General features: G+C 39.4%; 2 protein-coding genes across 2 annotated transcripts in view, besides 2 other annotated features; both read left to right on the top strand.

Annotated features, from left to right (window-relative positions):
- The window catches only part of RBM27-POU4F3 (RBM27-POU4F3 readthrough), a 138,124-nt gene that overhangs the window by 6,524 nt on the left and 104,075 nt on the right, over nt 1-27,525 (top strand). Inside the window, exons 2-8 of the mRNA NM_001414499.1 lie at nt 8,857-8,975; nt 13,275-13,399; nt 18,818-18,909; nt 19,589-19,782; nt 20,529-20,789; nt 23,322-23,615; nt 27,170-27,304. Of these exons, the coding sequence (NP_001401428.1) occupies nt 8,857-8,975; nt 13,275-13,399; nt 18,818-18,909; nt 19,589-19,782; nt 20,529-20,789; nt 23,322-23,615; nt 27,170-27,304 (1,220 nt within the window). The remainder of the gene's footprint in view (nt 1-8,856; nt 8,976-13,274; nt 13,400-18,817; nt 18,910-19,588; nt 19,783-20,528; nt 20,790-23,321; nt 23,616-27,169; nt 27,305-27,525) is intronic.
- RBM27 (RNA binding motif protein 27) overlaps nt 1-27,525 on the top strand; it is an 85,619-nt gene that overhangs the window by 6,524 nt on the left and 51,570 nt on the right. Inside the window, exons 2-8 of the mRNA NM_018989.2 lie at nt 8,857-8,975; nt 13,275-13,399; nt 18,818-18,909; nt 19,589-19,782; nt 20,529-20,789; nt 23,322-23,615; nt 27,170-27,304. Coding sequence (NP_061862.1) covers nt 8,857-8,975; nt 13,275-13,399; nt 18,818-18,909; nt 19,589-19,782; nt 20,529-20,789; nt 23,322-23,615; nt 27,170-27,304 — 1,220 coding nt within the window. The remainder of the gene's footprint in view (nt 1-8,856; nt 8,976-13,274; nt 13,400-18,817; nt 18,910-19,588; nt 19,783-20,528; nt 20,790-23,321; nt 23,616-27,169; nt 27,305-27,525) is intronic.
- Nucleotides 3,358-3,652: a silencer, noted in NCBI's record as "tiled region #15600; K562 Repressive DNase unmatched - State 14:Gen5'". NCBI's record gives its function as "represses a minimal TATA promoter and a strong SV40 promoter by Sharpr-MPRA in K562 cells {active_cell/tissue: K562}" and the evidence as "EXISTENCE:reporter gene assay evidence [ECO:0000049][PMID:27701403]".
- Nucleotides 18,519-18,688: an enhancer, noted in NCBI's record as "experimental_81701 CRE fragment used in MPRA reporter constructs". NCBI's record gives its function as "activates a minimal promoter by MPRAs in K562 erythroleukemia cells, with activity observed for the non-introgressed 5:145608295 variant allele {active_cell/tissue: K562}" and the evidence as "EXISTENCE:reporter gene assay evidence [ECO:0000049][PMID:34662402]".

Genomic DNA, 27,525 nt, shown 5'->3' on the forward strand with positions numbered 1-27,525 from the left:
GCAAGGTCTGTTTTGTTTAAAGTAATTCCATTACCAAGCAATATGCTTGGCACTTAGTAAACACTCAGTATATGTTTAAATGAATGAACATTCTCATATGTATATACAGGTAATTGACAATTAGAAAAGTAAGAATTTTTTAGTAGTCTAATTTTGTGCATGTATTTAGCTAGTGGCTACTATACTAGGAGCTATGGTCCAAATATCCAAATGGTATTTGCAACTGATGAATGTATGTATATATTTTCCTCCCAAATAAATCTAGGGTTATTTCTTCCACATGATACTCATTCATGAAAGCCCCTAATTACTTAAGGGGAAGATGAAAGTACTATGGTCTGAATGTTGGTGTCCCCTCAAAATTCATGTTGGACATCTCAAAAAAAAAAATATGTGAAAGGAGCCTGCTTGTTACCATGAGAGGACACAGAAGGTACCATCTGTGAAGAATGGGCCCTCACTAGACTCCAAGTTTGCTGATGCTTTAATCTTGAACTTCCCAGCCTGCAGAACTGTGAGCAATACATTTCTGTTTATAGCCGGGCACGGTGGCTCATGCCTGTAATCCCAGCACTTTGGGAGGCTGAGGCGGGCAGATCACGAGGTGGGGAGATGGAGACCATCCTGGCTAACACAGTGAAACCCCGTTTCTACTAAAAATATAAAAAATTAGCCGGGCGTGGTGGCGGGCGCCTGTAGTCCCAGCTACTCAGGTGGCTGAGGCAGGAGAATGACGTGAACCTGGGAGGCGGAGGTTGCAGTGAGCCGAGATTGCGCCACCGCACTCCAGCCTGGGCGGCAGAGCGAGACTCCGTCTCAAAAAAAAAAAAAAGAAAAATTCTGTTTATAAATTGCCTAGTTGGCTGGGCATTGTGGGCTCATGCCTGTCATCCCAGCACTTTAGGAGGCTGAGGTGGGTGGAGCACTTGAGTCCAGGAGTTCGAGACCAGCCTGGACAATGGGGCGAAACTCTGCCTCTACAAAAAAATAAAAAAAATAGCCTTAGTCAGGCATGGTGGTTCACACCTGTCGTCCTACCTACTTGAGAGGCTGAGGTGGGAGGATCACTTGAGCCTGGGAGGTTGAGGCTGCAGTGAGCTATGATCAAGCCACTGTACTCCAGCCTGGGCAACAGAATGAGACCCTGTCTCAAAAAATAAATAAATACTAAATTGCCTAGTCTAAGGTATTTTGTTATAGTAGCCCAAACAGACTAAGAGAGAAAGTTTTCATTTGAAAAAAAGTAGAAGTACCAATATATGTGTATCTTTAATAAATATTAACAAATGTGAAAGTCAACTCCATTTTTACTTACTTTGTCCAGTATGGTCTTATCTTTTTTTTTTTTTTTTTTTTTTTTTTTTTTACTTTGAGAGGAGTTTCGCTCTTGTTGCCGAGGCTGGAGTGCAATGGCATGATCTCGGCTCACCACAACCTCCGCCTCCTGGGTTCAAGCTATTATCCTGCCTCAGCCTCCTGAGTAGCTGGGATTACGGGCATGTGCCACCACACCTGGCTAATTTTGTATTTTTGGTAGAGACAAGGTTGCTCCATGTTGGTCAGGCTGGTCTCGAACTCCTGACCTCAGGTAATCCGCCCCTGGGATTACAGGTGTGAGCCGTCAGGCCTGGCCCAGTATGGTCTTACCAAAGGGATAATCTGAACACAGATCTCAGAGTCAGACTTTTTTTAAAATTCACTTTCATTCTTTTAAAATAAAAATAAGCGTATTATTGCATTATGACAGTATAGAAAGTAGAGAAAAGAAAATTATTAGTATTTATTTTGTTTTTCTTATGTGTATGAATTTTTATATAGCTACAGTCAGACTCATTGTAAAATTCTGATTTCTTTGACATTACATCAGAAGCATTTTTCACATTTATATATTGCTTTTATAACCATCACTTTGGTTTTTTTGGTTTTTATTGTTCCCGCCACCCCCGAGATGGAGTCTTGCTCTGTCACCCAGGCTGGAGTGCAGTGGCGCAATCTCGACTCACTGCAGCCTCCGCCTCCCGGGTTCAAGTGATTCTCCTGTGTCAGCCTCCCAAGTAACTGGGATTACAGGCACGCGCCACCACGCCTGGCTAATTTTTGTATTCTTAGTAGAGATGGGCTTTCACCATGTTGGCCAGGCTGGTCTTGAACTCTTGACCTTGTGATCCACCCGCCTTGGCCTCCCAAAGTGCTGGGATTACAGGCGTGAGCCACCCCGCCCGGCCCTTGTTTTTTATTAAGACAGGGTTTTGCTCTGTCACCCAGGCTGGAGTGCAGTGGCATGGTCATAGCTCACTGTAGCCTCAACCTTCCAGGATCAGACAATCCTCCCACTTCAGCCTCCTGAGTAGCTGGGACTATAGGTGCATGCCACCACACCAGGCTAATTTTTTTATTTTATTTTTTTAGAGATGGAGGTCTCACTATGTTGCCCAGACTGGTCTTGAATTCCTGAGCTGAAGCAATCCTCCCACCTCAGCCTCCTGAAGTGCTGGGATTACAGGCATGAGCCACTGTGCCTGGCCATAACCATAATTTTTTAAAAAACATTTGTTTATTGTATTATATTGTATTATAGTATATTACATATATATTTTTTGAGATGGAGTCTTGCTTTATTGCCCAGGCTGGAGTGCAGTGGCGTGATCTCAGTTCACTGCAACCTCCGTCTCCTGGATGGATTCAAGCGATTCTCCTGCCTCAGCCTCCTGAATACCTGGGATTACAAGCACCCACTACCGTGCCCAGCTAATAACCATCACTTTGGATGCCTAATATTTCACAAACATCCAACAATAAGAGAATGGTTACCTTGGCACTATTTTTTTGTTAAAAATTAATGCTGTTTTTATTTAATAAATATATTTTGTGTGTGTATAGCTTTAGGTACTAGTAATATTTTCTATATATGCCTTTATTTCCTTCGTCTAGTTTATCATAAGTGTAACTACTGGTCAGAGAATATGGATTTTTTTTGTTGTTGTTGTTGTTGATATGGAGTTTTGCTCTTGTTGCCCAGGCTGGAGTGCAATGGCGTGATCTTGGCTCACTGCAACCACCGCCTCCCGGGTTCAAGCAATTCTCCTGCCTCAGCCTCCCGAGTAGCTGGGATAACAGGCATGCACCACCATGCCCAGCTAATTTTGTATTTTTAGTAGAGATGGGGTTTCTCCATGTTGGTCAGGCTGGTCTCAAACTCCTGACCTCAGGTGATCCACCCTTGGCCTCCCAAAGTGTTGGGATTACAGACGTGAGCCACCACGCCCAGCCAAGAGTGTGGATATTTTAATGGCTGTTGATACACATTGAGATCAGGAGATTTTTTTTTTTTAAGCTGTGGCTCAGAAGCACATGTATTAGTTGTTTCACCTCTGAAAGAAAGAGCACATTAAGATGGAACTTAAAATTAGATCCATATTCAGAAACATGTAAATTTTTCTGCAAGTGGGAAAGGTCTAAGTAGTCTTGGCTTTTTTCCTAAAGCAAGTAAATGGTAATGGTTTTTCAGTAGTGTTTTTTGGCTTGGGGCCAAAGGTGTAGGACCTTACTCTTTGATCTTATGATTGCATGTCTGAAATTTTCTATGAAGCTTATGTACTGGCTCAGCAGTTGTGTAATATACGTGCAATAGAGATTTCATTAAAAGGGGAAAAAGATAAATTTGAGATTTTTACAGATGAGGTATTTTTAGGGCAATGTTTCTATTAGCTTACTCCGATAAAAATTTGTTGACTTTTATTTTTTAAATAACTTAAAACATAATTGAAGCATGTTCTTAAAACGTTATTGTGCAAGGTGTGAATTTTAAGGAGTCCTATTTGTAAGTTACATTAAGCTTTAGGAAATTTCTTTTGTTGATTCTTTAAAAGGTAACTGTTGGTTGATACTTAAGATACATTAATTTTTCCTGCAGATGTACATTAGAAAAAGACATGGTTGTGAAACAGATTTTACTTGTGTGGAATTGCAGCTGAGTTTTAGTTCCACAGATGTGCTGTCTGCCTGATCTTAAATCGATCTCTTAATTTATCTTTACAAATTTACAAATCTATAGTAGAATGGTAATTTAAGATGGATATTATTACCTTTTCTAATCTCCATGTTATAATAAAAGTCCCTTTTTGTCTAGAGACATGTGTATTTTGCATAGTCATGGATCCCAAATTTTACAATCTCTTTCATCCCCAAATATGCTTGTTTTTATAGTCAAGCAGTAATGGATTCCCATAAGCTTTAGTTGCAAATAAAGTGGCTAAAAGATTTTAAGTACTCTTCCTGAGTATGAGAAGAAAGAAGTGATGATTTTTCAGGAGAGGGAAGTGATGCTGCACTTGTCTTATATTCTCAAGAGTCTTAGTTGTACTCAGATTTTTGTGACATACTTCTGGAAGTCTTGTTGAGTAGTTAGCATTGATACTGTAGCTACAGTATCATGGCTGTTTTTTAGAGATTATATAGTGAGGGGTCAATGGGTGAAAGAATAAGAATAATTGTAAAAGTCTAGAAAATTACAGCACAAAACTTCCCAATGTATTTAAGTTTCACCATTCAATTAGTGTGAATTATTCAATTAGTCTATTATTTTAGACTTATAATTTTCTTCAGAGCGTACTTTATGGATACATGTTAGGAGCTGTTAAATGTAAATGGTCCTATTCCTTTGGCTGTAAACATGCTGTTGTATTTGGTGCAGATTTCTGTCAGTTATTAACAATCATTTGTTCCCTCACATTAAACAAATGTTTAGAATCTGTGATCATTCTCTTCTCCTGGAGTCTAACCTTTTCTACTCTTTTACTTTCCTGTATATTCATCTTGATTTTTAGCACTATCATATCAAAATGTGTTTCATCAGAAGCAGCCTAACTTGGCATATGGTTTTTAGAGTCTGTATGCTAAATATATGTAAAAGATATCTGGGTTTCTTTTCTTTTTTTTTGAGACTGAGTCGCGCTCTATCGCCCAGGCTGGAGTGCACTGGCGTGATCTCGGCTTGCTGCAACCTCTGCCTCCCAGGCTCAAGCAGTTCTCCTGCCTCAGCCACCCAAGTAGCTGGGATTACAGGTGCATGCCACAACACCTGGCTAATTTCTGTATTTTTAGTAGACATGGGGTTTCACCATGTTGGCCAGGCTGATCTTGATCTGCTGACCTCAGGTGATCCTCCTGCCTCAGCCTCCCAAACTGCTGGGATTACAGGCATGAGCCACTGCACCCAGCCGATATCTGGGTTTCTTAAACCCATTTCAGTTATCCAATATCTGAATGTTTTGCCCATTCCTAACATATAGAAACTTTATTATCCATACCCAGCACTAAATCTATCAGATCATTAGACTCCTTGAAGGTTCCTATAACGTCAGAGAAAATAACATTGCCATTTTCTTCCATTCTTATTTATTTTTCTAAGTCCTTTTCTTCTGTGTTAGACTACCCTTATCCAAGAACTAAACTTTTTAAGTAAAGGTGGAAATGTAATTTTTTTCCCCTTCTCTCCTCCATATGAATGTAGACTAGAACTACACTGATAAAAATTTTCTCATTATTCTCAGGGGTGAAATTAAGTTGGCCTACACATCTGTTTTTTAAGGTGTTTATAGAATAGCCAGGGTAAGCATGGCATGTGTAATTTTTTTTTTTTTGAGACTGTCTCTCTCTGTCACCCAGGCTGGAGTGCAGTGGTGTGATCTTGGCTCACTGCAACCTCTGCCTCCCGGGTTCAAGTGATTCTCCTGCCTCAGTCTCCCAAGTAGCTGGGATTACAGGTGCACACCACCACGCCTGGCTAATTTTTGTATTTTTAGTAGAGACGGGATTTCACCATTTGGGTCAGGCTGGTCTTGAACTCCTGACCTCGTGATCCTCCTGCCTCGACCTCCCAAGTGCTGGGATTGCAGGCGTGAGCCACCGCGCCCAGCTGGCATGTGTAATTTTTATTTTATTTTATTGAGACAGTCTTGCTCTGTTGCCCATGCTGGAGTGCAGTGGCACAATCTCGGCTCACTGCAAACTCCACCTCTTGGGCTCATGTGATTCTCCCACCTCAGCCTCCTGGGTAGCTGGGACCACAGGTGCATGCCACCACACCTGGTTAATTTTTTGTAGAAGCAGGTTTTCACCATGGTCTAAAACTTCTGGACTCAAGCGATTCCCCACACTTTGGCCTCCCACAGGTGTGAGCCACCACACCCAACCATAATATTTTTTGAAGATAGAAAGGCTACATATTCACTATTTTGGTTTTTAATTTAAAATTTTATTAATAAAAATTGTATGTATTTAAGGTGTGATGTTTTGATATATATGCACATGCTGAAATGTGCATATATATCAAAAGCTAGTTAACATAATCATCTCATATAGCTGTCTTTTTTTGTGTGGTGAGAACACTTAAGATCTACTCTCTTAGCAAATTCAAGTTTACAATATATTTATCAATTTTAGAATTTAACAGTTGGCCTTACTAAGGTTATCTGTTCATAATTCTCCAAAATGTAACATTTTTTACTTAAGAAAAATCTTTACTTTCTTTTATTTTTTATTTTTTGAGACAGGGTCTCACTGTGTATCCCAGGCTGGAGGGTAGTGGTGTGGTCATGGCTCACTGCAGCCTTGACCTCCTAGGCTCAGGCAATGCTCCTGTCTCAGCTTCCTTAGTAGCTGGGAGTACAGGTGTGCGCCACCATGCCTGGCTAATTTTTATATTATTTGTAGAGACCGGATCTCGCTATATTGCCCAAGCTGCTCTTGAACTTCTAGGCTTAAGCAGCCAGCCTTGGCCTCCCAAAGTGTTGGGATTATAGGCATGAGCCACCAGGCCCAGCCTTGAGTGACTCTCTGTCTATTTATTTATTTGGAGATGGAGTCTCGCTCTGTTGCCCAGGCTGGAGTGCAGTGGTGCGATCTCAGCTCACTGCAACCTCTGCCTCCCGGGTTCAAGCGATTCTCCTGCCTCAGCCTCTGGAGTAGATGGGACTACAGGTGCCAGCCACCTTGCCTGGCTAATTTTTGTATTTTTAGTAGAGACGGGGTTTCGTCATGTTGTCCAGGCTGGTCTTGAACTCCTGACCTCAGGTGATCCCCCCGCCTTGGCCTCCCAAAGTGCTAGGATTACAGATGTGAGCCACCGTGCCCGGCCAGGTGAATGGATGTTTAAAGAACCAGCCTTTCCCATGACAGTGTTAATATTGACAACAAAAAAAGTTGTGTTACTGAATTACGAACTTTAAGCATAAAAACTAGAAGGAAGTAAAGGTACTGGTGCTTGGTTTTTATTTTGTTTACTAATCTCATAAAGTTATTGGAAATGTGATTGATACTCTTGAGCTGAAGCCTGTTTTTTTTTTTTTTTTTTTTTTTTTTTGGAGACAAGGTCTCACTCTGTTGCCTAGGCTGGACTGCAGTGGCATGATCATGGCTTGCTGCAACCTCCAACTCCTGGGCTCAAGGTGTCCTTTTGCCTCAGCCTCCCAAGTGAGCTGAAACCTTTTAACTTTCTGGCTGCTAGTGAAGGCCCAAGGATTATAGAACAAGATTAGTTAGATTTGAATAGTGTTTTATAGGTTATATAATCACTTTGCTTGCATAATGGTTTTACTTACTGTTATTCTGAATTTTTTGTTTGTTTGTTTGTTTGTTTTTTGTTTCTTTGAGACAGGGTCTCACTCTGTCACCCAGGCTGGAGTGCAGTGGTGTGATCGGCTGACTGCAATTTCTGCCTCCCAGCCTCAAGCATCCTCCCGCCTCAGCCTCCCGAGTAGCTGGGATTACAGACGTGCACCACCACACCTGGCTAATTTTTGTATTTTCTATAGCAACAGAGTTTTGCCATTTTGCCCAGGCTGGTCTTGAACTCCTGGGCTCAAATGATCCTCCTGCCTCAGCCTCTCAGGATGTTGGGATTACAGGCATGAGCCATTGCACCCAGCCTGAATGTTTTCATTTTACCTTCATAACCTGACTGTGAAGGATATGTGTTATTTATGTATTCATCAGGAAGCCTAGAATATTTTATATATGTGTGTGTATATATATATGTTTACAACAAGAAAACTAAAAGTTTCATGTGATGTACATAAAACCTCGAGTCTGACAGATTACTATACATCAGGAGTTGACAACCCAAGGATTATGAGCTGTCCTGGAATAGGAGATGATTTTGAGTATCAGTGTTGGATTACTTACTAGAAAAAATGAGAAGTAGATAAAGGTTATCTCTGCTGTCCTTTCACCACTTCTCTTTTCCTTTCTGTTTCTAACTCCTAGATCTTTTCTTTCTTTCTTACAGCTGCTAAAGCATTTGCCAATAATATTTAAATGCCATTCTTTTCATGTTCTTATTTTTTAAAAAGATCTTTAAGATACTCGCTGAGATTAGCAAAAGGGCTGATAGCCATTTTTAGATACTGGTGCCTAGGGAGAGGTGTCTTGAGGAGAGGAGAAAGTTTTTCCATCACTTCCCTTCCTTTTGCTCATTAATCACCTGGAACAGATAGTTCCTGAAGGTGTTATTGACAGTGCTTCTATAGCTGGGAGCCAAACAGCAACTTAGGGGTCAGTTGCCACTCTTTGCCTGTTATCATTGAGAGAACAAATAAATGTAGAGCTCGCCCAAGATCCTTGATATATTTAGAACCTCAAAAATAGAAGACATACTAGTCATTTTGTAGAAATAAATGCAAAAGGAAAATCTCGCAGTATGTATATGTTTATTATAAAAGTTGCCTGTGTTTGTGGTCACTTTTTAGAATAGAGTTTTGATTTCTCGTTTTCCAAAATAAGGGTGACTTCATTAATAACACTACTGTTTGATAAAAAGTGTTTTTTAAAATTTTTGTTTTCTCTTTGTCTAACTAGATGTGATGCTGATCCTTCAGCCTTAGCCAACTATGTTGTAGCACTGGTCAAGAAGGACAAACCTGAGAAAGAATTAAAAGCCTTTTGTGCTGATCAACTTGATGTCTTTTTACAAAAAGGTAATTATTATGGGCCTTCAATCGAGTATTGAAGTAAAGATTTTAAGTTTAAAACTTCCTGAAAAGTCTTGGAGATATAAGCTTGATAGGAAAGAAAGTAGTCAGAGTCCTTTGAATACTTGAATATACCCATTCATACTTAATTATTTATCATGTTTTGTTAGAACTGGTTTTTTCCCTTTCCTTCTTTGCTGCTTTCCTCTATTGAGGCAATGGCAGCTCTAATGCTTTTTAGATGATTAGGTCTTTTGCAGCTTTTGACAGAGCCTACTTGATGATTGAGGGGTAACAGTTTAAGGATAATGAAGATGCTTATTCTTGGTGTTCATTAAGATGATGAGCTCATCAGTTTTTTTCCCCCCTTGGATGGGGCTTCTTAATATCCAAGAAGAGATGTGTATGATCCTCTTCTCTTTGTGCCTTTAACTTTTCATCTTCTTACCAAATCTGTTTCCATGGTCTACAGAGCTTCCTAAGGTTTCCCCTGTTGCCTCTCTGACCTTATCTCCTATCATTGCCCCTCACTTGTTCCACTCTAGCCACAACGACCACCTGTTTTTTGAATTATGGCAAACATGTTCCCAACTCAGGCCCTTTGAACTCATTTTACCCTTGCCTGAAACATGGATTCTTCTCTCGCTTCTTTCTGGTCTCTTCAAATGTCATCTTCTGAAAGCAGTTTCCCCTGAGTGCTCTACATACAGTGTAGTATACTCCATGCCTCCATCCACTCTCCTCCTTCCAACCCTGTTTTGTTTTATTTTTCTTTTTTATTTATTTATTTTTATATCTATGTATTTTTATTTTTGTAGTGTTGGGGTCTCACTTTGTTGCCCAGGCTGATCCTTGAACTTCTTGCCTCAAGCAACTGCCCCACCTTGGCATCCCAAAGTGCTGGGATTACAAGGCATGAGCCCCTGTGCCTGACTCCTGTTTTGTTGTTTTCATGGCACTTGTCACCACCTGTCATAGGTTTATTTGCCTGGTTATCTGTCTCTCTACCCTTTGTTTGCCTTTTGTTTGGTTGAGAGTGGAGACTTGGAACCTACAGTACTTGGTACATGGAAGATGTTCAGTAAATATTGTTAAATGGGCCAGGCGCGGTGGCTTACGCCTGTAATCCCAGCACTTTGGGAGGCCGAAGCGGGTGGATCATGAGGTCAAGAGATCGAGACCATCCTGGCCAACACGGTGAAACCCCATCTCTACTAAAAATACAAAATTAGCTGGGCGTGGTGGCGTGTGCCTGTAGTCCCAGCTACTCGGGAGGCTGAGGCAGGAGAATTTCTTGAACCCAGGAGGCAGAGGTTGCAGTGAGCCAAGATCGCGCCACTGCATTCCAGAATGGGCGACTGAGCGAGAGTCCATCTCAAAAAAAAAAAAAAAATATATATATATATATATATGTATGTATAGTTGAATGGATGAATAGGAATGTGAATAATACACATTTATCAGTTGATTTAGCTATTGGTGATGAGAAGATATCATTTAAAATAAGTATTTACTGAGAAGGAGAAAAGTAAGTATGGCTTCTCAATCTAAAACATAGGATTACATATTTTTTCCTACATTTTACAGCTCTTTTTGTAGAAACAAAGCAATACTGACAGAATTTTTTCCCAGTACAACAGCTACTTAAAAAATTCCTCCCCAGTACAGATGTTTTCTTTTCTAAATGTGTTAATTTACATTACTTGATTTACATTAAAGATGAGTCTTGTGAAATGTAGAGCCATGACAAAAGAGAAAGCAAAACATATTTGGGGTAAAAGGCCAAATGAATGTTTAGACGTCCAAGAATTCTTTGTTATAAAAAGTTAGAAAGGATTGGCCAGGCGCGGTGGCTCATGCCTGTAATCCCAGCACTTTGGGAGGCCGAGGCGGGTGGATCATGAGGTCAGGAGATTGAGACCATCCTGGCTAACAGGGTGAAAACCCAGTCTTTACTAAAAAAACACAAAAAAATTAGCCGGGCATGGTGGTGGGCGCCTGTAGTCCCAGCTACTCGGCAGGCCTGGACGACAGAGCAAGACTCCATCTCAAAAAAAAAAAAAAGTTAGAAAGGATTTTAGTAATTAAAAAAAAAATTACATAGGTAATATATATGAGAAGGAACTATACACTACATTTTTAAAAGGATAAGAAAATAAGTAACCATAAATTTGCCACCAGAGATAAAATCACTGTTATCAGCTTGTGTGTGTCTTTCTAGACTAGCACTGTCCAATAGAACTTTGTGCATATGGTCTATATCTGTACTTTCCATTTCAGTAGCCATTAGCCACATGTGGCTTTTGAGCACTTGATATCTGGTAAATAGGCCAGAGAAATTGATTTTTTTTTTGAGACAGAGTTTCGCTCTTGTTGCCCAGGCTGGAGTACAGTGGTGCAATCTCAGCTCACTGCAACCTCTACCTGCTGGGCTCAAGCAATTCTCCTGCCTCAGCCTCTCGAGTAGCTGGAATTATAGGCATGTACCACCACACGTGGCTAATTTTTGTATTTTTAGTAGACAGGGTTTCACCATGTTGGCCAGGCTGGTCTCAAACTCCTGGCCTCAAGTGATCCACCTGCCTCGGCCTCCCAAAGTGCTGGGATTACAGGCGTGAGCCACTGTGCCTGGCCAGAAATTGATTTTTAAATTTAATTTTAATTAATTTAAACTCAAATTTAAAGAGCTACATATGGCTAGTGGCTACTATATTGGACAGTGCAACTGTAGACTTATGTCTGTGTTTATATTGCATCTTAAAATAGTATTAAGTGAACATACTCTTTTATAATAACATTTTAAAAATTTAATAGTGTACCTTGAATATTGTTTTTATTTTTATTTATTTTTAATTTTTCCCAAACTCTTTGGTTTCCCAGAGAATATTGTTTAATAGTAGATGTTTATCTTTGCTTTTTAAAAATTGAGCTATGTGTCTTTCAGATTACAAAAGAAAATAACATGTTATAAATTGTTTTAAATAATAATTATAAGTGAAAGTATTCTGATTATAGAGGCTTTTGAAGGGTCTGATTATTGTCTTAAGTTTATATGTAATAGTCAATGAGAGCTAACAGTTTTATAATCGTGGAAAAATGCTTACTACACAAATTAGTAGTGTAAAGAAATTTATAAGAAGATGCTTTTCTGTAGAAAAGATAACATTTTAGAAATAGCTTTTATGTAAAAGATGTAATCATTGCAATGTAAGCAGAGTTTGTGTTGTGCTTTTAATATGCTCTTTAGCTGTTCCTTAGGGTAGGACCAATCAAAGTTATTTAGATTTGGTTTTAATAAGACATAGGCTGGATGTGGTGGCTCATGCCTGTAATCCCAGCACTTTGGGAGGCCGAGGCAGGCAGATCACCTGAGGTCAGGTGTTCAAGACCAGCTTGGCCAACATGGTGAAACCCTGTCTCTACTAAAAATACAAAAATTAGCTGGGCGTGGTGGCACATGCCTGTAATCCCACCTACTCAGGAGGCCGAGGCAGGAGAATCACTTGAACCCAGGAGGTGGAGGTTGCTGTGAGCTGAGATCGCACCACTGCACTCCAGCCTGGGCAACAGAGCAAGATTCTGTCTCAAAAACAAACAAACAAAAAAAAGCAGTATAAATATTTGACGTTAATACTTTTACTAAATTCATCTGGTTCTCCCATTCAGTTGTCTGAGGAAGTTTCAAACAGAGCACCCTTTAAGTAAAACACAAAAAGTTAGTTTCATGTCATTTTCATATCAGTAAATATTTAACTGATTAAAAAAAATTTTCGGTTAAGTTTTTTGAGTTGGCAGTGCCTTTAATCCAACAATATAAAGGTATACCATGAAAGTCTCTTACCTGTTTTATATCCACCGCGTTCCCACCTAGAGTACACAATTTTGTCAGTTTTTATTTTTTTCAGTTTCTTTATGCAGATAGATAGAAACACATATAAATACATACTGTTATATCTTTGAGATCAGGTATTATCAGTATTCTTTCTTTTTATAGCCGCTGTGTACTCTGTTGTATAGATGTCCCATAGTTTATTTAACTAGTCTCTTATTCATGGAAATTTGAGTTGTTTCCGATCGTTTGCTATTATATCCTCCAACAAATAATCTTACATATATATCATTTTGCAAGTAGGTCAGAAGGATTTAAAAACCTGAAAGTGGGATTCTCTTCCATAAGGTAGGACTCATTTTTAGTCCTACTAGCAGTGTACAAGATGTCCTGTTTTCCTGAGCTTTGCTGACAATGTGTTGTCAAATTTTTGTTTTTTGTTTGCGCAATATGTAAATGTTATTTCTTCTCCTTAGAAACTTCAGGTTTTGTGGACAAACTATTTGAAAGTCTCTATACTAAGAACTACCTTCCACTTTTGGAACCAGTAAAGCCTGAGCCAAAACCACTAGTCCAAGAAAAAGAAGAAATTAAAGAAGAGGTAATGCAAATTTTTTCTCCTGCTTTTGGGGGCTTCTTAGATCCTGTCACCAGTATCCTTAGTTGGAAGTTGAGCCTTTTAAAAGTAATTGTGTATTGATTCAAGTTTCCGGATTTTAGGCATGGTACAGATTCTTCATCAGGATTTCATAGTTGCTTGGACTGAAGAGTTGAAAAGTTTCAGATAGCTTGTTTAGAGATCCAAGAAATATTTCAGAAATATTGAGGAAGTCAGAGAAATCTTATCTAGTGACTTTTAGAAAAAGAAAACTTGGTTAAATATAGAGAGATTGACTGAAAGTGAACTGTTAACAAATCCTCAAGAGAAATCATTAGGTAACACATTTTCATGTATATGGAGAAACCAGTTGCACTTTTTGATTATATAGAGTTTTAAAAAATAGTTAATGTAATTGTGAACATCACTGTCAACATTGGAAAGAGGATTTTAAAAATGTTTTTATAATATTGAAGTATGAAAACATGGTTATAGATGGTAACCTAATTGTTTGAACCAAGAAGGAAATTTTACAGAGTTCTTTGTACTTCCTGTTATATACAGACAATATAGTATAGAAGAATGTGGATTCTGTAATCAGGTTGCATGAGTTAAAATAACAGCTCTACAAGTTAACTTCTCTGTCTCACTTTGATATCAGTAAAATGAGGATCAGAGTAGTACTTATTGAGGATTAAGTGAGATTATGTATGTATGTGTGTATATATATATATAGTTTCTAGTCCAGTGCCTGGCACATAAATGTTGGTTATCATGCAGAAATATTTCCCAGTATTTATTTTTATTACATTTATTCTGAAGGTAAAATGAATTTTTAATTTAGAAATAATTTTAAACAAATAAAAATTACAAGAGGCTGGGCATGGTGGCTCATGCCTGTAATCCCAGTACTTTGGGAGGCTTAGGTGGGCGGATCACCTGAGGTCAGAAGTTTGAGATCAGCCTGGCCAACATGGGAAACCCTGCCTCTACTAAAAATACAAAATATTAGTTGGGCGTAGTGGCAGGCATCTGTAATCCCAGTTACTTGGGAGGCTGAGGCAGGAGAATCGCTTGAACCCGGGCAGTGGAGGTTGCAGTGAGCCGAGATCATACTGTTGCACTCCAGCCTGGGCAATAAGAGCAAAACTTTGCCTCAGAAAGAAAAAAAAAAATTACGAGAATAATACCCAAAACACCCATATGACGTCTATCTAGATAAACTTTTCTTTTCGATGGAGTTGGAGTCTCCTTATGTTGCCCAGGTTGGTCTCGAACTCCCACCTCTGCCTCCCAAAGCTCTGGGGTTATAGGTGGTCTAGATATACTTACTGAAAATTTGCCCCATCTGCTCTCTTTAAATATCCATATGATTTTTTTCTCAGTAATTTGAGTAGTGAGTCACATACTTCATGTCTTTTCACCCCTAAGTAAAGTACTTCAGTGTGTATTTCCTACATATAAGGAATATTCTCTTAGGTAACTATGATACTGTGATCAAGTTCAGTAAATTTAACATCCATATAGTACTTTAATGTATTATCTGTGTTCAGTTTTATCAATTGATCAAGCAATGTCCTTTTTTTATTTCCTTTTAAAAAAGTTTTTTGTTGTTGTTAAAGAGACAGGGTTTCACTATGTTGCCCAGGCTGGTCTTGAACTCCTGAGCTTAAGCGATCCTCCTGACTTGGCCTCCCGAAGTGCTGGGAGTACAGGCATGAGCCACTGCACCGAGTCCCAAGTGTTTCTTTTTTATAGCATGTTCTTTTCCTCTCCATTTTCAGGATTGATTCTAAGGATTAGGTATCATTTAGTTATCATTTCCGATTCATTTTTAAATGCTAGGCTGATTGACCTGATCCAACATTAAAAGAAAAAATGTGGCTATATTTATGAAGATCAACTGAGACTGCTGTCTGTTTTTTCTTTTTATATCATGCCCTGTAATTATCTCATCAAGTTCTTTCAAAATTGGAGAGGCTTGTTGAATGTGTCTTAAAGTACTGGAAATAGGAAGAAGCCTTTCTGTTTTTTACCTTTCTGTTTTTTTTTTTTTTTTTGAGACGGAGTCCGCTCCATCGCCCAGGTTGGAGTGCAGTGGTGCCATCTCAGCTCACTGCAACTTCCACCTCCTGGGTTCAAGCGATTCTCCTGCCTCAGCTTCCTAAGTAGCTGGGATTACAGGCATGTGCCACCATGCCTGGCTGATTTTTGTATTTTTAATAGAGATGGGGTTTCACCATATTGGCCAGGCTGGTCTTGAACTCCTGACCTCGTGATCCACCCACCTTGGCCTTCCAAAGTGCTGGGATTACAGGGGTGAGCCACAGCAGCTGGCCACCTTTCTGGTTTTTTTTAGACAGAGTCTCATTCTGTCACCCAGGGTGGAGTGCGGTGGCGCGATCTCGGCCCATTGCAACCTCTACCTTTCAGGTTCAGGCGATTATTCTGCTTCAGCCTCCTGGGTAGCTGGGATTATAGGCCCTGTCACCAAGCCTGCCTAATTTTTTTTTTTTTTTTTTCAGTAGAGACGGGGTTTCACCAAGTTGGCCAGGCTGGTCTTAAACTCCTGACCTCAAGTGACCTGTTTGCCTCGGCCTCCCAAAGTGCTGGGATTATAGGCATGAGCCACTGCGCCAGGGCTGGAAGAAAACTTTCTTGAGTACTTTCATAGACATTTTTCTTTGGTACTTTATAGTATATAATTTTTGGTCTATGGTATAGATTATGTTTTTTATAAGTTAAAATTTTTTGTAACGTGTTTTTTACAGTCATTGAATCTCAGTGGTTTAGATGTATCTGTTTGAGAGGCAGCTGATTTGAATATGAGAGAAAATTTGCATTATCTTGAGTTTATTTATTTATTTTTTTGAGATGGAGTTTCATTCTTGTTGCCCAGGCTGGAGTGCAATGGTGTAGTCTCAGCTTACTGCCACCTCCACCTCCTGGATTCAAGCGATTCTCCTGCCTCAGTCTCCCAAGTAGCTGGGAATACAGGTGCCCACCACCACTCCTGGCTAATTTTTTTGTATTTTTAGTAGAGATAGAGTTTCACCATGTTGGCCAGGCTGGTCTTGAACACCTGACCTCAGGTGATTCACCTGCCTTGGCCTCGCAAAGTGCTGGGATTACAGGTGTGAGCCACTGCACCCAGCCTGTCTTGAGTTTTAAAAGAACAGTTTTAAAAAAAAACAAAACTGTTATACTATCTTGTTTGTATCTTTGTAGATACAATTTTGAGAATTGTGAAAAATGGATAATGCCAGTTTCTGTGTAGAGCTACCCCCAACTGACAGCTTTCCGGCGTTTCTCATTTTCTAAGTTTTAGAAAATTACATAACTTATCGTAATTACTGAAATAAATTGTAGTTCATTTAGTAGTGCATAAACATAATTGTTTATAGTATTTCTGTTAGATAATAGAGTAGGAAAGGAGTCTGAGGTGGCACACATCTTTGGCTAATTGTCTTTTTCTGGTCTGTGCTTAGTTGCTCTGAACAGGGTATAGAGAAGCAAATCTAGGGATTACCCATTTTAACTTTCTTCCTTGGTCTTCGGCTACATTGGGTTCCATTAGTGGTTTTCTAATTAGACTGTTGATCACCAGGGTAAGAGAATTTGGATCATTGGCACCAACTCATCCTGCTTCTGGAAAAACAACTTGGTAGACATGTGCCATGATTTATGAAGCACACTGCCTTCATTGCCTGTTTTCTTTACCTCATCTTTTTCCTTAAATTTTATTTTGTGAAGAAATTCAATCATTTGTCCTGTAGAGTTTTTTACTGTCTGGATTTTGCTGTCTGCATCCCAGTGGAATAATACATCCTCTGTATTTCCTGTGAATTAGGATAGAGAATGTTTTTTAAATGTAGTCTAGTGAGTGTGTAGTGATTTTGCTGCCATATGGTTGCCATATTGTGGCTGCCGTTTTATGTTGCCTGAATTTTATTAAATTATTATCTCCTAAGTCCATTCACTCACTTCCTGATTTGTGTATTTGTCAGTGAGCTTCTCCATTAGATAGGTATTTGTTTAACTCTTGCAAATAACTTTATTTCACCTTTCTCTGGTAAAGACTATATATTCGGTTTGAGATAAACTTGTTCAAAGACAATAATAAAAATTACTGGTTCTCCAGGAGGCAGAGGTTGCTGTGAGCTGAGATAGCGCCACTGCACTCCAACGTGGGCGACAGAGTGAGACTCGGTCTCCAAAAAACAAAAGAATAAAATAAAAAAATAAAAATTACTGTTCTCTTTGTATTTCTGGTCAATTTTGACGGTTAGGCTTTAAGAGAAAGCCTTAACATTTCCATTAGTTCCAATACCATTTTTCCATAGTTTACATGAATTACTTAGTTTTATAGCATTCATTGATTTAACCATTTTTTCCTAAAACGTTTCCTATGGAATAAATCTGAAGAGCTACTCAAATGAATTATGTATGTATATATATTTCATAATGAGGAAAACATAACCGTTTTACTCTATGGTACTTAAGAGATTTGCTGTTTTAATTTGAAGAATGAATTGTTTATACTTTTCCTACACTACCATTCCCTACTTTAACATTAAAAAATTAACAAACTGCTTGTTGAAGTAATCTGAGCATCTTTTTTATTTCTGCTGTTGCCTGACTCTTTTGGCTATGAATTGACTTTATTTTTTCAGTGTATTTACTCGTGCCCTCTCTTGCGCCAGAAATATTATCAGGTAGATGGACATGTTTCATAATTTATAGAGGGACCATTCTTTCTTTTTTTTTTTTTTTTTTTTGAGACAAAGTCTCGTGTTGCCCAGGCTGGAGCGCAGTGGCGTGATCTCGGCTCACTGCAACCTCTGCCTCCTGGGTTCAAATGATTCTCCTGCCTCAGCCTCCCGAGTAGCTGGGACTACAGGCACGTGCCACCACACGTGGCTAATTTTTGTATTTTTAGTCGAGACAGGGTTTCACCATGTTGGCCATGCTGGTCTCAAACTCCTGACCTCAAGTGATCTGCCCGCCCCGGCCACCCAAAGTGCTGGGATTATAGGTGTGAATCACTGCGCCCGGCCGAGAGGGACCATTCTTATTTTGTTTTTTGTTTGTTTTTGAGAAAGGTCTCACTCTGTCATCCAGCCTGTGGTGCAGTGGTGTGATCATGGCTTAATGCAGCCTCAAACTTCTGGGTTCAAGCAGTCCTCCCATATTGGCCTCCTGAGTAGCTGGGACTACATACAGGTGCATCCCACCATGCCCAGCTAACTTATTTTATTTATTATTTTTAGTAGAGATGGAGTCTCCCTGTGTTTCCCAGGCTGGTCTCAATATCCTGGCCTCAAGCAGTCTTCCCACCTGGACCTCGTAAAATGTTGGGATTACAGGTGTGAGCCACCGTGCCTGGCCCTGCTCTTACTTCTACTCAATATTTTCATATAGGTATTTCAGGAGCCAGCAGAGGAAGAACGAGATGGCAGAAAAAAGAAATATCCTAGTCCCCAGAAGACTCGTTCAGAATCTAGTGAACGAAGGTTTGTGTTTATCTTTAATTAGGAAGACATTGATAACTCACTTTTTAGTTGCCTTGCAAGGACATTAAAGGGATTTTTAATATATATACTTACTCCTCTCTCTGTAAACTCATTAAAGAAAGATGTTACCTTTCTTCCTTTCATTCTTTCTGTTTTTTGTCTTTTGTCTTACTTTCTGTTCCTTTTATAAACAGTCATTATTATGTGTTTTCCCCAAGAGCTCAGGGGTGGGAGCAGTCCCCTTAGAGAATATTAATGAAATGTTCCATTTGGTTAGGGGTGCTTAGTATTAAAATCATCCAAGTCATTTTTTTATGACAAGTAGTACAACTTGTATATTGAATCATCAGCCTAACATCAAAAATTGGTCTTTGTTTAGGAACACTTTTTTTTGAGCCTTTTTTCTTTTCTATTTCAAATTTTCTGTTTTCCCCTGCCCACCCCTCCCCATACTTTGGATTCACCTCTTTTTTTCATTTCTCCCCACCCAGTATAATTGCAGGAGGGATGTTTTTTCTCTGTATATATTTGATTAGAGGAATTATGTGGTAGATTTGCAACTTTCTAAAAAAGCATAGATATGCATTTGGATGACTCAAGAGTAGTATTTATACTATAGATTTGTTTGCAGACTTGGTTTCTATAGCCTGCATATGGCTTTTATATCTGTATATTATAGGACACGTGAGAAAAAAAGAGAAGACGGGAAATGGAGAGACTATGACCGGTACTATGAGCGGAATGAATTGTACCGTGAGAAGTATGACTGGAGAAGAGGCAGGAGTAAGAGTCGGAGTAAGAGTCGAGGCCTGAGTCGCAGTAGAAGCCGAAGTAGGGGGCGCAGCAAAGACCGGGATCCAAATAGGAATGTTGGTGAGTAGATGAGTGTCCCCCTAAAAACTCTGTAGTTATTTATCTGTCTCTATCACAGGGGTGCAAGAAATTCTCTTAAAGTTGTACCTTTAATATGTCTGAGCAGTGTAAAAACTGGAATTGTCTCAAGAAGCTCAATATCCATTTTGTTAGAAAACAGGGCTCTATTCTGGGGATGGAGTCAAGGGAGTTTGATTAAAAAGGAGCTATTCAAGTGTATCATTGTACATGTCTAGACTTAACTCATTTTGTATAATGGATACAAATATCCTTTAATCAATAAAGCTATCACGTGAGGAAGAGGGTTGCCTGCTTTTCTTCTTTGTTTGGTTTTCTAAAAGTAATTGATTTGCTGTAAGGGTGCTTGAAGTTTATAAAATTAAATGGATAAAATAAGTAGATTATTGGGATCCCAACCACTCATCTTCTGAGATACAAGTTTGGAAGTCAGTTCTTAGATAACCTTCTTATTAAATATCTGTGGAGAAGCTGACTCTTTTTCAGTTAAGTGTAACTGATGTTGATACTATAAAAGATGATTTTGCACAAGTTCTTGCCCAAGATATGTCACTTGTTGATGTCCCTGCTTTTAGGATATATTAATAAAGAGAGGAGTATGAAATATGGATAGCTAGATAAGTTTAATTCAACATTCTCATGTTTTCTATGTGAGAAAATAAATATAGTTTAAGAACATGAAATATCTGATCTCTTTGTTTTCTGTTTTTAATTTTGTCTCCAAGTAGAGCACAGGGAAAGATCGAAGTTTAAGAGTGAAAGGAATGACCTGGAGAGTTCCTATGTGCCTGTGTCTGCACCACCTCCAAACTCTTCTGAGCAGTATTCCTCTGGGGCACAGTCTATTCCCAGCACTGTTACTGTGATCGCACCTGCTCACCACTCTGAAAACACAACTGAGAGTTGGTCTAATTACTATAACAATCATAGCTCTTCCAATTCTTTTGGTCGAAACCTACCACCAAAGAGGCGATGCAGAGATTATGATGGTAAAAATCACCACCTTTTCTCATATTGTGCCCAAAAGTACTAGCAGAGCAAATGTTGCATATATTGCATATCTTTTAGTTATAGTCCAGTTTATTTTATTTTATCTTATTTTATTTATTTTGAGACAGAGTCTTGCTCTGTCACCCAGGATGGAGTGCAGTGGCTCGATCTTGGCTCGCTGCAACCTCCATCTCCCGGGTTCAAGCGATTCTCCTTCCTCAGCCTCCCAAGTAGCCTCCCAGGTAGGCACCAACTCATGGGGAATGTTGTTTAATCTACACTCCCACTGACTTCTATGGCCTGTATTATTTCAAGCAAGTCACACACAGGCATGTGCCACCATGCCTGGCTAACTTTTGTGTTTTTAGTAGAGACAGGGTTTCACCATTTTGGTCTGGCTGGTCTCGAACTCCTGACCTCAGGTGATCTGCCTGCCTCGGCCTCCCAGTGTGCTGGGATTATAGGTGTGAGCCACCGCACCATGCCTATAGTCCAAATTTTGTTAAAAGGGATGAATGGGGAGGAGAATCTCTGTTTGATTTAATGGTTTGGCTCTCATTAAGAGAATATTTAAATTTTACCCTTTTTTAGATTTTTTTTGTTTTTTTGTTTTCACTGTTATTTCAAACACTGTATGCCATAGTATACTGTAAAATTTCATAGACACTAGTAATTGTAATTTTTTAAAAGAATTTTATTTATTTATTTATTTATTTTTGGAGACGGACTTGCTCTGTCCCCCAGGCTAGTGTGCAGTGGCACAATCTCGGCTCACTGCAGCCTCTGACTCCCAAGTTGAAGCGATTTTCCTGCCTCAGCCTCCCAAGTAGCTGGGATTATAGGCGTGAGCCACCATGCCCGGCTAATTTTTGTATTAGTAGAGACGGGGTTTCACCATGTTGGTCAGGCTTGTCTGGAACTCCTGACCTCAGGTGATCCACCTTCCTCAGCCTCCCAAAGTGCTGGGATTACAGGTGTGAGCCACCATGCCCAGCCAGGAATTGTCATTTTTTTGAGTAGTGTTTGCTGCCGGGAATTTGTAGAAGTTACTTACAAGTTTGATTTGCTGACTTTCCATTTGAATGAATGAATCGGTATGTGTGTATTTCTTTTAAATTTTTATTATGGAAGTATTTATATATTCATAAAAGCTGACAAAATGATATGCTTAACCCCAGTGTATCCGTTACATCATTTAAATAGGCACCAACCCATGGGGAATGTTGTTTTAATGTATGCTCCCACTCACTTCTGTGGCCTGTATTATTTCAAGCAAGTCACAGACATCATAATTTTTTTCTATAAATACAGAATGCATACGTTTTTACATTTTACTTATTTTAAAGTAGGGAATAGAGTCAAATTATAATTCAAGAATTACCTCATTCTCGCCCTAATCTCTCAGCCATAGAATACTCCTTGCCAAGGCCAACGTAATGTTATCAATTTGTTGTTTATCTTTCCAAACATAATCTGTGCGTATGTACATAAGTAAATACACATATTTTCCCCACATTTTTAACATAAATACTAGTATGCTACTCATACTTCTGCATAATGTTTTTTCAGTTAGCAGTATTTCCTGGCGTTCATCCTATGTTAAAACATAGAGAGCTTTCTCAGTATTTATTTAGGCTTCTTAGTATTCTTTTTTTTCTCTTTTTTTTTTGAGATGGAGTCTCGCTCTGTCACCAGGCAGGAGTGCAGTGCCATGATCTCAGCTCACTGCAACCTCTGCCTCCTGGGTTCAAGTGATTCTCCTGCTTCAGCCTCCTGAGTAGCTGGGACTACAAGCGCGTGCCACCACGCCCAGCTAATTTTTGTATTTTTAGTAGAGACGGGGTTTCACCATGTTGGTCAGGATGGTCTCAGTTTCTTGACCTCGTGATCTGTCTGCCTTGGCCTCCCAAAGTGCTGATATTACAGGCGTGAGCGACTGCGCCCAGCCCTGCTTCTTAGTATTCTTTATGTACAAACGTGTTTAACTTATTCCTTATTGATGTATGTTTGGGATGTTTCTATTATTTTTCTACTATGTACAGTGCTACAAGTGATAACCTGGTACATAATGTTCACGTGAATATTTGAAAGTTTCAACTTCCAGATATAGCAATAATGGTTGCTTTAGAATAATGTAATGAGAATAGATTGAGAGTAAATAATCTAGGTCAATGCCCTTATTCTCCCCTACCCCACGCCTTTGCTAAATTGATATTTGTTTAAAATATCTGAGTTTTTATTATGAAAGCTTAATTGCAAATGGTTTAGTATAATGGTAGTTGGTAACCTGTTCTTGACTCTTTTATTTGCTTTCTCAACAAGTCATAGTATCATAGTGTAAAAAGTAGAGAGTACATCTGCCTCTACCTTGGGGATATGTGATGCTTAACAGAGTAACACTGAGACTTTGGATTCCTTGGAGAAAACCACTTTGTAAATGAGATTGGTGGGTTTTTCAGGGACATGTTTTGTTGTTTTCTGAACTCTAAGTAGATGATAATAAGATTCTTTTTTTATTCTTTATTCCACAGAAAGAGGATTTTGTGTACTTGGTGACCTTTGTCAGTTTGATCATGGAAATGATCCCCTAGTTGTTGATGAAGTTGCTCTGCCAAGTATGATTCCTTTCCCACCCCCTCCTCCTGGGCTTCCTCCTCCACCACCTCCTGGAATGTTAATGCCTCCAATGCCAGGTCCAGGCCCAGGCCCGGGCCCAGGTCCAGGCCCAGGCCCGGGCCCAGGTCCAGGTCCTGGCCATAGTATGAGACTTCCTGTTCCCCAAGGACATGGTCAGCCTCCACCATCCGTTGTGCTTCCCATACCAAGTAAGTATATATTTGTTGAATTTTTCTCTAGCGTTCTGTTTAGAAGAACCTCATCCCTTTTAGCTAACTTGACACTCGTTTAAAGTGTTTGAGAAATAGAGTAATAATATAATTTGGAATATATTCCCATAATTAAGATGCTATTCTTTTCTTTTTTTCATCCGTTATTGCATGATGTTATTTGTATTACCACAGTGTAAATTTTGTGTGTAGTGGCCTAACCTATATTGACCTGCAGTCAAATCTAGTTATCATCTTAAGAAAGCCAGTATTTATTTATTTATCTATTTTTATTTAGTTTTTCTTTAGAGACAGGGTCTCATTATGTTGGCCAGGTTGGTCTTGAACTCCTGGCCTCAAGCAGTCCTCTCCTGCCTTGGCCTCCCAAAGTGCTAGGATTACAGGCATAAGCCACCATGCCTGGCCAGGAAAGCCAGTTTTTAAGATGTCAGAGAAAAAACATGTTAGGAGTTTTATGAAATTTTCCAGTCTTTAAGGAAAATCTCTTCAAGAATATTGAAATAATATTAAAAAAATTTTTTTTATTACAGACATTTTTAGAAGTAGAATAGTATGTGTGTTGCAGGTACCATCATCCAGCCTCAATGACGATCAATATTCAGCTGTTTTGTCTCATATTTTCCCTTCTCTCCCATACACTTTCTTTGGGTTGGTTGGTTTTTTGCTGGAGTAAATTCTAAATGTCATGTCACTTCACCAGTATGTACTTCAGTATGGATCTCCTTTCTGATAAGGACTTTTTGTTTTTGTTATTTAAAAAAAAAAATCAATATGCCATTATCACATCCAGCAAAATTAGGAGTAAGAAATGTTTTAAAATGGTCATTTAAAAAGCATTATTAACAGTTGCCAATATAGTAGAAATAGAAGTAAGACTAAATTTTTAAAAAGTAATTGAAAAAATTATGGAATGAATTGTTTTCATGTATGCCAAAATATAAAACGTTATCTGCTTGAAGACTTTTAACATTAAAAGATGGCAAATTAGGCTGGGCATGGTGGGTCATATCTGTAATCCCAGCACTTTGGGAGGCCGAAGTGGGTGGATCACTTGAACTCTGGAGTTCGAGACCAGCCTGGGCAAGATGGCGAAACCCCATCTCTAGAAAAAATACAAAAATTAGCCAGGCATGGTGGTGTGTACCCATAGTTCCAGCTACTTGGGATGCTGAGGTGGGAGGATGGCTTGAGCCTGGGAGACAGGTTGCAGTGAGCCAAGATTGCACCACTCCATTCTAGCCTGGGTGACAGAGCCAGACCCTGTCTCAAAAATAAATAAATAAATAAATAAATAAATAAATAAATAAATAAAAGATGGCAAATTTTTATTTTTAGAAATATTGCTGTTCAGTTTAAGCAGTAGTTTTAATGAATTTCTTTTTAACATTTTATTTTGAAATAATTACAGACTCAGTTATAGAATTATAATTACGGAAATTGTGAAAATGGTTTCACATGATCCTGAGCTTCCCTGCAGTAATAAAGTATTCTGTAGAATATACATTTCATGGCCCGGCACAGTGGTGCACGCCTGTAATTCCAACACTTTGGGAGGCTGAGGCTGGCAGATCACTTGAGCTCATGAGTTTGAGACCAGCCTGGGCAACATGGCAAAACCCTGCCTTTACAAAAAATACAAAAATTAGCCAGGCATGTCGGGGGGTGCATGTAGTCCCTACTGCTTGGGAGCTTGGTGTGGGAGGATTGCTTGAACCCAGGAGGTCAAGGGTGCAGTGAGCTGTGATGGCCTCACTGCACTGCAGCCTGGGTGACAGAGCAAGACTTTGTCTCAAAAAAATTAAAGAATATGTTTTATTATTAAAGTTGGTAAATGTTTGGAGGGATTTAATGCATATGTTTGGCCTATAGAAACATGTTGTTGTTTTTTTTTAACTTAGCATTTGTGATTTTTTTTTTCTTTTATTTTCTTTTTGAGACAAGATCTCACTCTGTGCCCTAGGCTGGAGTGCAGTGGGGAGATCTTGGCTCACGACTCACTGCAACCTCCGCCTCCCAGGCTTGAAGGGATCCTCCCACCTCAGTCTCCTGAGTAGCTGGGACTACAGGCGTGTGCCACCATGCCTGGCTAAATTTTTTTGGACTTTTTTGTAGAGACAGGGTTCGCCATGTTGCCCAGGCTGGTCTTGAACTCCTGGGCTCAAGCAGTTTGCTTGCCTCAGTTCCCAAAGTTCAGGGATTACAGGCGTGAGCCACCGTGCCCAGCCCATATGTGAATATTTAATATAATCACATAAACAGTATAATTGTGAAGCTCAAGCTGAGATTTCATTTCCCAGATAAAGCAACATCGTTTTATATATGGAAATTCTAAAATAAAGAACGTTATCTCAGCGTGGGAACATATCTATTTAAAAGTTAAATTCAAGAATACCATTTCTCCCGACATTTTGCTATGAAAAGTTTGTAACAAATAGGAAAGTTGAAGGACTTGTACTTGTATACTTACCATCTAGGTTCTACAATTAGCATTTTACTGTATTTATGTTAGCACATATCTTTCCGTTTCTCCATTTTTACTTTTGATGCTTTTCACAGTATGTTGCAGACATCGTACACTTAAGCATGCTTATCATTAACTTGAATTCTGTAGAACTTTACCATCACCCTAGAAAGTTTCCTGAAGCCTCTTCTCAGCCGTTCTCCACCTTCACCCATAGAGGCAACCAGTCCTGCCTTTTTTCACCTTAGATTAGTTTTGCCTCTTCTAGAACAAGTAATGTTCTTTTAATTGATTATACAACTCCCAGTGCTTAAGCTTGCATATATTAAATTCTTTAATTCTATTCAGAACCAAATTAGGTATTTTAAATGTGAGTATCCAAGTTAGTACTAGTATGGTATTTTTTTCTTTTTTTTAAGATGAAGTCTTTCTCTGTTGCCCAGGTTGGAGTGCAGTGGCGTGATTTCGGCTCACTGCAGCCTCCACCTCCCATGTTCAAGTGATTCTTCTGCCTCAGCTTCCCAAATAGCTGGGATTACAGGAGTGTGCCACCACACCCAGCTTATTTTTGTACTTTTAGTAGAGATGGGGTTTCACCACGTTGGCCAAGCTGATCTCGAACTTTTGACCTCAGGTGATCTGCCTCGGCCTCCCAAAGTGCTGAGATTACAGGCATGAGCCACCGTGCCCGGCCTATGATGGTCCTTTTTTTTTTTTTTTTTTTTTTTTCGAGACAGAGTTTTGCTTTTGTTGCCCAGGCTGGAGTGCAATGGTGCGATCTCGGCTCACCGCAACCTCCGCGTCCCAGGTTCAAGCGATTCTCCTGCCTCAGCCTCCTGAGTAGCTGGGATTACAGGCATGTGCCACCACGCCCTGCTCATTTTTGTATTGTTAGTAGAGACGAGGTTTCTCCATGTTGGTCAGGCTGGTCTCGAACTCCTGACCTCAGGTGATCCGCCTGTCTTGGCCTCCCACAGTTCTGGATTACAGGTGTGAGCCACTGCTCCTGGCCTGATACTTTTATTAGGAAATATTAATGCTGTACTTTTCACTTTTTGTTGTCTGTATGTAGGACCACCTATAACACAATCAAGCTTGATAAACAGCCGTGACCAGCCTGGGACAAGTGCAGTGCCCAATCTTGCATCAGTGGGAACAAGACTACCTCCTCCTTTACCCCAGAACCTCCTTTACACAGTATCAGAACGTAAGTACATGTTGTTTGACTTAAAATTGACAGGGTATAGAAAAGCCAAGTTGTCTCATATCAGTATAACCCTTTAAAAAATGGTAAATAGTTTCTGTTCTTATGGATTCTAAAAATTGTATTTGTGTTTACAATACAGTTTATCGTGTGTTTCTGCTATATAGCCACATTTTAATTTTGTGTGATATGGGAGAGAAAGGCAAGGCTTTCTGTTTTGGAGA

This window comes from Homo sapiens, chromosome 5 (assembly GCF_000001405.40).
Source record: "Homo sapiens chromosome 5, GRCh38.p14 Primary Assembly".
Taxonomy (NCBI): Eukaryota; Metazoa; Chordata; class Mammalia; order Primates; family Hominidae; genus Homo; species Homo sapiens.